This window comes from Homo sapiens, chromosome 8 (genome assembly GCF_000001405.40).
Source record: "Homo sapiens chromosome 8, GRCh38.p14 Primary Assembly".
NCBI classification, from domain to species: domain Eukaryota; kingdom Metazoa; phylum Chordata; class Mammalia; order Primates; family Hominidae; genus Homo; species Homo sapiens.
The window spans coordinates 136,775,046-136,789,308 of NC_000008.11; the positions used below are offsets into that span (position 1 = coordinate 136,775,046).

At 33.9% G+C, this 14,263-nt stretch overlaps 1 long non-coding RNA gene across 1 annotated transcript in view; it reads left to right on the forward strand.

Annotated features, from left to right (window-relative positions):
- Positions 1–14,263, forward strand: part of LINC02055 (long intergenic non-protein coding RNA 2055) — a 366,804-nt gene that overhangs the window by 244,248 nt on the left and 108,293 nt on the right. The gene's annotated exons all lie outside the window — the stretch shown is intronic.

The following is a 14,263-nucleotide window of genomic DNA, read 5'->3' on the forward strand; positions in this document are numbered from 1 at the left end:
TGAAAAAATTGAATGATTAGTGATGCTGTTAGAGGCATCAGTATAAACCCATGGCTTTTAATGTCAATGTCTATTATTATCAAGATAATCAAGATAGATAAGATTAAATAAATAGACAGGAAACACACCCTATCTAAACTTTTGTATGGCTGGGATTTGTGAAGATAAGATGTCACCTTAGTGATTAGCTTACATTACAGGATAAAAGGAAGGGAATTTTGAAAAAGTAACGAAGGCCCCTAAACAGTTGACTTGACTTACTGTAAAGGGAGAGTATCTTAGGTGTGGCTGATCTAGTCAAGTGAGCCCTTAAAAGAGGGTCTGGACTTTCCCCTAATGTCTCTGAAGCCATGCTGTGAGTGGGCCTCTAAGAAAGCCACAGAACAAGGAACTGTATGGGTTTAGTAGTTGAGAATAGCCCCAGACTGACAACCAGCAACAAATTAGGTACCTACGTCCTACAGCTACAAAGACCTGAATTCTCCCAAAAACGACAAGGGGTCGTTGAGAAAGGACCTAAAATACACAATTCATGAGTGGGATCATGATCATCCTGGATCATCATCATCAATAAAAAAAAGTTCTTTCTTTTTCTATTCCCTTGCTACACAGGACAAATGCATTGGAAGTACTTTGTAAATCATAATCTACTTTAAACAGTCAATATTTCATTATTAATCCATGTTTCTGGGACTAACTTCTTTACGCTTTAATATTATTATGGTCATCATTAAAGATTATTTGCTGCCACCTGGTTTTAAAGTTGAGGGAGGGGGAAGGCAGGGAAAGAGAGTGGAAAAATATAACATCTAAAGTCTTTTTTTTCCCATAGACTAGATCCTATTTTCATTTTATCTCCACTGTCTTCTACATAGTTTATGTCTTATGTTAACATACACAGTATCATCTAATATCTCCCCTCTTAAAATGTAAGTCAAATAAAACAGGGACTAAGGAGCAATATGACTAAAATGAACATGTTCATCATTTCTAGAGGGGGACCATAGAAAATAATACTGCCTTCTTCAAGACACGCCTTTATCTCCTCAGGCTCCTATTCATGTGAGGATGTCCCTCCTGAGTCCCGCAGAGAGGACTGTATATTATGTGTGTCTTTATATCCCAGCATGTAGAAGCATCTGATAGGTAGTGTACACACAGTTAGGTGAATGAACGGGCAATATATACATGACCACCTTGCTCTGGAGGATAGGACAGGGAACAAAGGGAGATGTTACTGAAGGCAGGGCCGTACTAAAGGTATAAGCAGTTAAAATTAGCTGCTACATTTTCAAGATTAAAAAAGAAATCACTACCTATTTTCTGACAGTGTTATTCTGTATTGGCAAATAATCATCTGGAAAAATATACATATATATGTGTGTGTGTATACACATATGTGTGTGTGTATGTGTTATATATACACAAATATATACATTAAAAATTATATATACATTACAAAATATATATACACACACATTACAAATATATACAAATATATATATACATTACAAAATATATATAAATATATATATACACACACAGGCATACAAACATACATACACACACACAAACACATATATAACATTTATATAATTACCTATGAGAGAGCTATTCTGAAAACTCCACATACTGAGAACATTATAGTCACAGACTCCATTCTAGAGGAGTTGGGTAAGCAGACATCAGGGTCATATGGAGAGGTATTGTGGCCAAGTACTATGGCAGGCATACACCCCACCCATGCATCTGAAACCTGGCCTGTCTTTCTAGAGGAGGCTCTATCACAGACTGAATAAGACTACGAACTCCAGAGTCAGACTGCCCTGGATCAAAGACTAATTTTGGCACTGAATTTCGATGTAACTTGGGAAAGTAATTTGCCCTCCATATTTCAGCTTGCATAGCTCTACAATGGAGATTTTAGTATGAAATACTAAAGACCATTATGAAAGTTATGAGAATCAAATAACAGTACTACCTAACGTTTATTGAATGCATACTAAATTCTAGTGTGTTCATTCTTTTTTTGCACATATTATCTCGTTTGGTCCTCACAACAACACTTACAGGCAAGTATTGTTATTATCCTTCCAAAAATAGACACGGAAGGACCCTTCCAAGCCCCAATAGTGGGCAAGTGGCACAGATGGGATGAAGACCCCAGCAGCCAGACTACAGTATTCATTACCTCAACTGCTTTTGAATTCTCTATCTCTGGGTGCATAAAACTGTAATGCAGTCAGTACTGGTAAAGTCAGTGTCAATTATGAATACTTCTATAAATTTTTCCTGTACTATTCATGATCGGTTCACATCTAGAAAATGATAAGTTTAGATCATAAGGCTACTGCTGATAATCCTACTACTCTGTGCTAATAATAATGTCTAAGATGATTTTCTCATTTGGCACCAGGCACTATGCTACATATTTTACTTATAATATGTTGTTTCATTGAATAGTATCTAGAGAAGCAAAATATCTCATTTATATAATAACAATAAAAACAATAACTAAACCAGCAATAATAAGACATAGCTGATACAGTCATCTAGTGTTATTTGTGTATCAGCTCATTTAGTCCTCACAAAGACCCAATAAATAGGCAGTTTTACTATCCATAGTTTACAAATAAAAAAATGGAGGTAAAGATTAAACGACTTATCCAGGATCACACATGTAGTAAATGGCAGACATGGGATTTGGACCTAGGTACTGCAGTTCAGAGTGCACCCTCTTAAGCATCTGGAATTGCCTTCTGTATGAAGAAGGTGAGCTCTGCGCAGGTTAATCAACTTGCCTAAGGATGTACCAAGTCAAGGTTTTGTTGGATCAGTTACGGGATGTGTTTAAAACTAGCACCTGCTACTTAGGAAAAGAGTGAAGTGGCTTCATTAACAACCTCAGTGGGACACATTGTCCTCAATTTAAAAATGCAGATAGGAGCAACACCCTTGTTGGTTCACTTTGTTGCCTATTCAGCAGAGACTCTGAGCACTGATGATGCTCCATACACCAGACTTGCTGCAGCAGATCCTGCAGTGAGCAAGAAAGATGCAGACCGTGTCCCATTCATCACACTGGTGTTTTAAAAATCATTGCAGGCTCAATGAAAGCCAAGAATGGCTACGCACTGGTGCTCTGGGAGACGTGACAGTTGACCTAGGATGACTGAGGGATCCAGGAAAAGCCAAAATAAATAAGGAATTTTCATAGGAGTACATCAAAATGAGATCTTCCTATGCAGATTAAATAAAAACATAGATGTTAAAACACTTTAGAAAAACAAGTGAGACTTCTCTCTAAAAGTAAAGAAGTGCAATTATCAAGAACAGCATTTTTTGGCTGAATACAGTGAGGAGAAAATAAAATGCAAATATTGGAACATTCATCCTACTGCCACTTTTAAATTAGTTAAATAATTACTCTAGAAAATAATCTGTTTCAATGGACTTATTTTATTATTGAAGTAATACGGTTGCTTAATGCAATTACTTCTACCAGGTCATATAACTCACTGTGATTTGTAATTCAATTGAGTATTACATTGTACTTTTACAGAGGCATATTTGTAGGTCTCCTTTTTCCCCTTTTCCCTGTCAGATATTTTACCTCCTAAGTCTTTCTTAATAGTTTTCTTGTTATTTGTTTTTTAGGCAAGGTAATAATATCAGATCTCTATCCATATATGCAGTTTATTTAAGGAGTCAAGGTTTTATATAGACAAAGTAAAAGCACTAGACCATCTCAATGTGAGGAAACAGGATCTGGATGGGGGAAAGGTAGATAGAGGGGAGGGCACTTCTTTGGAATGCTCCTCAGAAATTATGGACTCATTAGACATGAGATGAACAAACAATTGCAAAGAAGTGAGAATCTAGAATGGTTCTCAGAATTTGAAATTGAATATCTCAGAGTCAAATTACATTTTTCTTTTAGCTTCCAATTATCTCCCTTTAATAAAGTTCTATGGCCCTTTATCTTCACCTATTTGTAGAACATATAACTTCACACATATGCACACATGACCACATGCCATGTACATGTAGCTTATTTTGACTTTTAGACTGTGCACTTTTAGACTGTACATCAGGGAAGAATATCTATTTTCTTTTCTTGCCCTACTCTTCAAAACTCAGACCCAAGAGCGCTCCTTGAAGAAGAGACATGAAACTAATTTTAAACATTGTTCACTGTGCTCAATTTCTTTCATCCAGTATTTCATTTAATTGTCATGACAATTCTAATAAATAATCTTGTTTTGCAAAGGGATTAACTGAGAATAGCAATGGCTAGATACTCTCCTAAGGTCACATGGGTAATAGTGGTGTGTAGAGTAAGGACCTGAACTTAGAACTGTCTGAATTCAAATACCCTACTTGCTTCACTCCTGCAGGATGTTATCTATTATTTCACAGAATAACACGTGTGTTTAAAAATATGTGAATGAATAAATGATTGTATGGTACCCATAATTGGAAATTATTTTAAATTATTTTATGCTATGTTTGTAATGTACTTTGGGTCACATTTCGTGATGTTTTTAATATACCATGACCCTTACCCATTTTTAGAAAGTACAACGGTATTGTATTTTCTATTTCAGTCAGTATCATTTTTTGTTATGTTACCTCATCTTTCATAATTTCTTTTTTTTTTGAGATGGAGTTTTGCTCTCATCTTTCATAATTTCTTTCCTTTTTCTTTTTTTTTTTTTTGTGAGATGGAGTTTTGCTCTTGTTGTCCAGGCTGGAGTGCAGCGGCGCAACCACCTCCTCTCAGGTTCAAGTGATTCTCCTGCCACAGTCTCCCAAGTAGCTGGGATCACAGCATGTGCTGCCATACCCAGCTAATTTTTTATTTTCAGTAGAGATGGGGTTTCACCATGTTACCCAGGCTGGTCACAAACCCCTGACCTCACTTGATCCACCTGCCTCGGCCTTCCAAAGTGCTGGGATTACAGGCCCATAATTTCTAAATAAATATGCAAATGATCTTCTCCCACTTATTTCTCATCATTTTCTTAAAGGCTATATTGCCTACATGGTTAGACACCCAACAGGTGGAAAAAGTCACAATCAGTGCTTTAGAAATCTCATATATAGTAACAAAAATAGTGTAACATAAGTCACAATCTACTGAAGTGTACAAATCTCATTACATGTTTCTATGTAATGATCAATAAGTTTATTGTTTTAGAACTGAAAGTCGGTCCTATAAGAAATATGCCTCATGCGTAAGTGAACAAAAGACTATTTATGGAGCTGAAGTAAATGAACACAAATTAGATCCATGCTGAATCGGTTCACCTTTAAATGACAAAGCAAGACCGCACAGTCACTAAAACACACAGGGACAAGAAAATTACCTGAAAAGGTTGCAAAACAACAATCAATCAAATGGCATATGCCAAGAAATACATAGAAACTCTTTGAAAAATAAAAAAAAAGGGTAGTTCTCAAACTTTACCTAGCTTTCCAGAACCTTTTCCAGGTCATATTTGTTTATTTCATTCCAAAGCTAAAAACGTCAATGGTAAAGTAATTTTAAGGTCTGTGTTAGAGACTTACAGAGGTATTTGCAGGCTGTAAGTGTCTTGATGTAAGTAGGTGCCAGTAACCACAGAATTAACTCGAGTTAACTTGCATTTGAAGAGCTCATATAACTCACTGTGATTTCTAATTCAAATGAGTATTACATTGTACTCTACAGGGGTATATTTGTAGGTTTTCTTTTTACCCCCTTCCTCTGTCCTATCTTCTACCTCCCAAGTCTTTCTTAATAGTGTTCTTCTTATTTATTTTTTAGACAAGGTAATAATATCAGATCTCTGTCTATATATATGTGGAGTTGATTGAAGGACTCAAAGTTTTATACAGACCAAGTAAAGGCACTGGACCCCTGGAAGACACACTCTGATGCCAGCAGAACAGGCTTGCACTCATATCCAGAGTTTGAAGACCACTTCCATGGACCACTGCTGGCAGAAATGCCCCCAGAGTGGTCGACCAACTGTGCACCCATGCTCCTAGCCAGAGTAATAGCTTCATAGCCCCACCCCCAGCCAGCCAGACCCCAAGTTGGCTGATCCACCATGTGCATGCATGTGCCTCTGAACTGAAAAACAGCCTGGTGAGTCTAACCCTGATATAATCATACCGTACCATCATAATCTTCTTTAGTCTAGACCACTGAGATACTTGCAAACCTCACTGGCATGGATTACAGCTGAGGAAACTACACAAATGCTACACTATTGTGTCCACTTAGAACCAAAGCCAATGCATTCCACTGAATTGACACCCCAAGACATATCTATTTGAACGTATTTTCCTATTAAACTTATTTATAAAATTGAAAGTAGCAACTGTCCAAATAGATTCATAGAAATCAAAATATGGACACAACAAACATAAAAACGTGACATCTCCAAAAATACACAATTGTTTTTTTAGTAGCAGATGCTAATCATAAGGAAATATACAAAATGATAGAAAAAGAATTCAAAGTAATAATCTTAAGGCAACTCAAAGAGATATGAAATAATCCAAATAGACGAATCAACAATACCAGGAAAAATTTATTATTTGAATAAGGAATTTAATAAAGAAATATTATAAAAAATACAGAAATTCTACAGCTGAATATTTTAATGAATAAATAAAAAAACACAATCAACAGCTTCAACAAGAGATGAGACCAAGCAAAATAAATACTTTTGAACTCAAATACAGGTTTTTAAAAATAACATAAGCAGAGAATAAAATTAAAAAGAAAAGCGAAAAGAAAGGAAACAAGAAAGATAAAGAAAAGAGAAGAAAAGAAAGAAAGGAAAGAAAGAAAGAAAGAAAGAAAGAAAGAAAGAAAGAAAGAAAGAAAGAAAGAAAGAAAACAGGATTTATGGGATACCATTAAGTGAACAGATATTGACAGTATGGTCAACCCAGAAGGAGAATATAAGGAAAAAGGGAGGAAAATATATTTTATGAAATAGCTAAAAAACTTCCCAAGTCATCAGAGAAACATGGATATCTACATTCAGGAAGCTCAAAGAGTCTCAAGTAGAACCAATCCAAACAGGTCTTCTTCAAGGCATTTTAGAGACAAATTGTCAAAAGTCAAAGGCAAAGAAGGAATTCTTAGGAAAAAAAAAAAGCAAGAGAGAAGCATCAAGTTACATATAATGTAATCTCCATTAAATGAACAGTGGATTTCTCAGTTGAAATCTTGTAGCCAGGAGAAAATGGGATGATGTATTCAAAGTACTGAAAAAAAATTTTTAAAAAACTGCCAGCCAAAAATATTATACCCAGCTAAGCTATTCAGAAATGAAGGATCAATAAAATATTTCACAGAGAAAAAAAAAAAAAACTAAGAGAATTAATCACCACTAGACTAGCCTTAAGAGAAATATTTGAGAGACTCTTAGATCTGGAAGTGAAAAGACAATATCAACCATCATGAAAACATGTGAAATTATAAAATTTATTGGTATAGTCAATACAAATGGGAGAAATAAGAATCAAAACTATCACTACAGAAAACCAGCCAACTGCAAAACTAAACAATAAGAACAGAAATAAGGAACAATGAATATACAAAACAACCAGAAAATAATTAATAAAATGACATGAGTAAGTCTTCACCTATTTGTAACATATTTCAATGTAAATTAATTAAATTCTCTATTTATGCTATTGACTGGCTGAATGGAAAAAAATAACAAGACCCAATTCTATGTTGCCCACAAGAAACTCACCTTGCTTGTAAAAATGCACATAGATTGAATATGAAAGGAAGAAAAAGATATTCATACAAGTAAAAATCCATAACTTAGGAGAAGTAACTATACTTATATTAAACAAAACAGACTTCGAGTCAAAATGTATAAAAAAAGAGTAACATTGTGTAATAATGAAGGGGTCAATTCAGCAAGAGACTATAACAATTGTAAATAAATACGTACATTACACAAGAACACCCAGATATATGAAGCAAATATTATTAGATGTAAAGAAAAAGATAGAACCCAATAAAATAATAAATGAATCAAATGGACCTAACAATCATTTATAGAACATTTTACCCAATAGCTGCAGAGTACACATTCATCAGCAGATGGAACATCTCTAGGATTGACCATATATAAGGACACAAAAAACCGTCAAAACATTTGAAAAAATTGAACTCATATTAAGTATCTTATTTTGTATCATAGTGAAATAAAACTAGAAATCAATAACAAGATGAACATTCAAAATTATACAAATATGTATGGCATGGTGTAGATCTGTGTCTCCATCCAAATCTCATGTCAAGTTGTAATTCCCAATATTGGAAGTGGGGCTTAGTGGGAAGTCACTGAATCATGAGGGCAGAGTCTTCATGAATGGTTTAGCACCTTTCCCCTAGTGTTGTTCTCATGATAGAGTTCTCATGAGATCTATTTGTTTAAGAGTGTGTAGCACCTCCTGCCCTCACTCTGTTTCTCCAGCTTCAGCCATGTAAGATGTGCCTGCTTCCTCTTCACCTTCTTCCATGATTGCTGGTTTCCTGAGGCCTGCCCGAAGCAGATGCCAGCTTCATGCTGCTTTTTGTACAGTGTGTGGAACCATAAGTCAATTAAACCACTTTTCTTTACAAATTACCATGTTTCAACTATTTCTTTAGAGCAATGAGAGAATGAACTAATGCAGCATTGAAATTAAACAACATGCCCCTGAATGACCAATGGATGAAGGAAGAAATTAAAAAACAAATTTTAAAAAATCTTAAAACAAAAATAGAAATGCAGCATATCAAAACTTATGGGACACAGGCAAAGTAATAGGAAGAGACAAGTTTATGATGTTTCATGCCTATGTGAAAAAACTAGAAACATTTCTAATAACAAACTTAATGATGCATCACAAAGAACTATAAAAGCAAGAAAAGCCAAACCCAAAATGAGTAGAAAGACTAGAAATAAACTAAAATGAGACTAAAAAAATACAAAAAGTGAACAAAACAAAAGTTGTTTTCTTTAAAAGATAAAAAATGACAAACCATTAACTAGATTAATAAAAAAAGAAGACCCAAATAAATAAAATCAGAAATAATAAAGGCAACATCACAGTGGATACCACACAAGTACAAAGGATCAATAGAGACTAGTATGAACAACTATATGCCAAATAATTCAAAAACCTAGAGGAAACACATAAAACCTACCGAGATGGGACCAAGAAAAAAATAGAATACCTGAACAAACAAATAACAAATAATTAGGTTGAATCAGTAATAAAAATCTTCCAATAAAAACAGTCCAGGGCCAAATGGCTTTACTACTAAATTCTACTGAACCCCTAAAGAAGAATGAATACCAATTATTCTCAAACTATTTCAAAACATTGAAGTAAAGGGAAATCTTCCAAACTCATTCTGTGAGGCCAGCATAACCTTGATATCAAAACCAAAGACACAACAACAAAAAGAAAACTACAGGTCAACATCTCTGGTGAACAGAGTAAAAAATCCTCAAAAAAATACAAACGAACTGATTCCAACGATATATAAAAAAGATAACACATCATGATCAAGGTAGGTTTATCCCAAAAATTCAAGAATGGTTCAAAATATGCAAATCAATAAATACATTATATCAACAGAATGAAGGACAAAAAACTTATGATCATCTTAATAGATGCAAAAAATTAAAATTTGACACCACTTTCTGATTAAAACTTGCAATAAATTTGGAATATAAGGAAAGTAACTCAACATAATAAAGGTCATATTTGATAAACCTAAAGCTAATATCATACAGAATGGGGAAAGTCTGAAAGTTTTCCTTCTAAGAACTGGAATGTGGCAAGGGTGCCAACTCCCAAAACTCCTATTCAATTGGTCCTAGAATTCCTAGCCAAAGAAATTAGGCAAGAGAAAGAAATAAAGGGCATCCAAATTGGAAAGGAGGAAGTCAAATTGTCACTAGCTGGAGTCGACATAATCTTATATATGAGAAACCCTAAATACTGTACCAAAATCTTTAAAACTGATAAATAAATACAATAAATTTACAGCATACAAAATCAACATAAAAATCAGTAGTGGTTCTATACATGAACAGTAAATAGCTGAAAAGCAAATTAAAAAGAAATTCTGTTTATAATAGCTACAAAAATATAAATGCCTAGGAATAAGTGCAATAAAGTAGGTGAAAGGCATCTACAAGGAAAACCACAAAACGCTATCAAAAAGAAATTGAAAAGGACACAGACAAATTGGAAGACATCCCATGCTCATGGATCTGAAGAATTAATATAGTTAAAATAAAAATACCACTGAAAGAAATCTACAGGTTCAATGCAGTCCCTTTCTAAAGACCAATGATATTCTTCATAGAAATAGGAAACGAAAAACTTAGAACTTGTATGGAACCACAAAATCCTTGAATAACCAAAGCACTAATGAGCAAAAAGAACAAGCTCGAGGCATCACACTAACAGACTTTTAACTGTACTACAAAACTGTAGTAACCAAAACAGCATGGTACCAGTATAAAAACAGACACATAGACCAATGGAACACAATACAGAACACAGAAATTAATCCACTTCTCTATATAGCTAGACTGATTTTTTACAAAGGTGCCAAAACTGTTTATTGCAAAAAAATGACACCCTCTTTCAATAAATGGTACCATTAAAACTGGATATTCATATACAGATAAACAAACTAAACTGTACCTCTCACCTTATATAAAAATCAAACCAAAGTGGATCAAAGACCTAAAGGTAAGACCCAACACTATCAAACTACTAGAAGAAAACATAGAGGAAATGTTTTAGGACATCAGTCTGAAAGAAGATTTTATGAATGAGACCTCAAAAGCACAGGCAATGAAAGCAAAATTATGCAAATGGTATTATATTCAACTAAAAAGCGTCTGCCCAGCAAAGGAAACAACAGAGTGAAGCAACAAACTACTGAATTGAGAGAACATGTTTGCAAACTATTCATTTGGCAGGGGATTATTATCCAGAAGATATAAAGAATTCAAACATTTCAACAGCAAAATAAACAAACAATTTAAAAATGAATATGTTTTCTGAACAGACATTTGTCAAAAGACATTTGTCCAACAAAAGATGAATGAATAAAAATAACATGGTATACATGCACAATGCAACACTGTTCGGCCATAGAAAGAATGAAATCTTGTCATTCATGGCAACATGGATAGAACTGAAGGACATTTCATTAAGTGAAAGAAGCCAGGAGCAGACAGTTAAACAATGCATATTTTCAATCATATGTGTAAGCTAAAAAGCTGTTTACCTAATACAAGAAAAATGAGAAGAGGATAAGTTTGAGTTTGAGACGGAGGAAGAGGAGGATAGGGAGAGACTTGTTAAATGATACAAAATTACAGCTAGATAGAAGGGCTATGTTCTAGTGTTCTATACCACTGTAGTATGATATAGTTAACAATATATCATACAGTTTCAGATAGCTAGAAGGAGAATATTAAATGTTTCCAACACAAATAAATGATACATGATTAAGATGAAGGAAATATGCTAATTACCCTGATGTGATTACTATTAACATTATATGCATGGCAACATCACTATATACTCCATAACAATGGACAGTTATTATTTGTCAATTTTTAAAAAGATAAATAAAATTTATAAAAAAGAAGTTAGATTCTTAAATCAACTTTATAGAGCCTGAAGTTATGCAGAAGGTCATGAAAGGTAACATGAAGCTAACCTGAATACCAGTAATAACTAGGTCACCACCTAGAGAAAAACAAAAAGCTTTATACCTCATCCTCTGTGCAGAAGCATTCTGATAGAACATGTTATAAAACACTGAAAGAGACACTTGGAGGTTGGGGAGGTATTTGGGTAAAATCCAATGAGGCAAAACCATAGAGAACAATAAGATATTTGTTACAAATATATTGGAAAAGTATTAGGATCCAGGATGCATAAAGAATTTCTAAAATTCAAAAATAAAATGATAAGAAACCTGATTTTCAAAAAGAATTAATAAATTTAGTAGATCCCTTAACAAGAGAAAACAAGGGTGGCAATAAACATATGGAAAAGCAAGAGGCTCTATCTCATTAGAAAAGTTTCAACTGCAATGAGGCATAATTCGCCACCCACAGCTTGACAAGAATTTGTAAGTCCAAACGACTGTTAGGATATAGAGAAAAAAATACTTATATAGTGCTAATAGGAATGAAAATTGCTTCAAAAACTCTACAAAATATATTTGTATTATCTAGTCACATTGCAGAAGCAAATCCTATGAACAGCATTTCAACTACTGAGACACTTAGGGACATTCTTGGCCCTATATCCCAGAAAAAAAATGTTCAAGCATGTTCACATAAAACAAATCGTTGAAAAAATTCCAAGTATCCAACACAAGTATATGCTTAAATAAATTGTGGAATAGTCCTACAATGGAATGCTATATAAAAGAGAATTAATTAAACAACATACAACATCAACAACAGAATGTTGAGTGAAAATATTAACTTGCAGAATAAAACATATTTATGTTCCTTGTATATAGAATTCAAAAGCATCAACAAATATAAATTTTGCACATATTGTAAAATAATAAAAACACAGGAAATATAGAAATAAAACTAGCAGATCAGGCAAATAAACTTGAGAAAGGTCAGGCATGAGCCTCAGAGTTAAATATAATGTTCTATTTCTTAAATATTGAAGGTTGATATACTTAGACACTTTTGATCATTCTTTATGCATTATACATATATAAAACATTATTTTATATATAATAAATGTTTAATCAATAAAGATAAATAATACAGACAAAAAAAACTATAGCTGTGCTCACTAAATGCTTGTTTCCGACTACACTCTTCTACTTGATGACTGAATAGTGATTAGTTGGTGACAAATAATAGAACAATTAATATTTAGGAAGAAATTCTGAAAGAGAAAGAAAAAAATCAAGAGAGTGGGAGTGATATAGGGAGGGGTGATGAGGAAGGAAAGGAGAAAGAGAGTGATATAAAGAAGAAAAAATTTAAAGAGAGGAAGAAAATGAAAACTTGTCAGAGATGTATCATTAAATATCAAACATTGTGTTACAACTTTCTGCATGTTTTATTTAACCCTCATATGAAAACTGTAAGGAAGGTATATTCATTTATAATTTAAAGATGGGAAAAGTAACTTATATTAAATATCCAAATATTAGGGAGGGAGGAGAAAAGGGAGGGAGGGAAGAGAGGGAGCTTATACAGTTTGGCTCTGTGTCCCCACCCAAATCTCATCTGGAATTATAATGCCCATAATCCCCCCGTGTTGAGGGAGGAACCTGATGGGAGGTGATGAGATCATGGTGCTATTTCCCCCATGCTTTTCTTATGATAGTGAGCTGTCACAAGATCTGATGGTTTTATAAGTGTTTGGCAGTTCCTTCTTCACACACCCTCTTGCCTGCTGCCATGTAAGACATGCCTACTTTCCCTTCCATCATGTTTGTAAGTTTTCTAAGGCCTCTGCAGCCATGCAGAACTGTGAGTCAATTAAACCTGTTTTTTGAATAAATTACCCAATCTCAGGCAGTTCTTTATAGCAGTGTGAGAATGGACTAATACAGGAGGTAACGATAGAAAGAAATATGGAAGAGAAGTTTGAAGGGAAAAATGATAGGAAAAAAGGAGAAATGAAAACAGTAGGAAGGTGTTCACTAAAATAACGTTTCCCTAGCAATATTTATGAAACATTGAATTTTAAATAAATATTTTTTGAAATATGAAATATAACTTGCAGAACTATAGCCTTAAGTGTAAAATTTTTTCCGCGTACCTATGATTCAAACACACAGAAAATTTTCTTTTCTATGTTTTAAAAGTGTTAAGAGAAACAGTGGTTGACTATCCCGCTAAAGATCTACAAATGTCTAATTCATGGCCCCTTTGGATGATGGTTTCTGGCTCACTGAACTCTTAAGAGTAGTTTTCATACTTAACAAGCCCCCTTAGGAAGAAATTTTCAGTAAACTTGATCCACTTGACAGATAGCAGCACTGATGCTCAGGTATTTAGGTAAACTTCTTCATGCTAGCAGCTGAGCTAGACAAGAACCCATTATGTATTTTTCCATCTTTTCAAATTCTTCCTAAGTTCATCTTTAGCTGATTTTTTTTCTTTGGTATAAACTCTATATTCATCATATACTTACAAAGATTTGCTAACTTTCTACAGAATTGAAAAGAACAAATTAG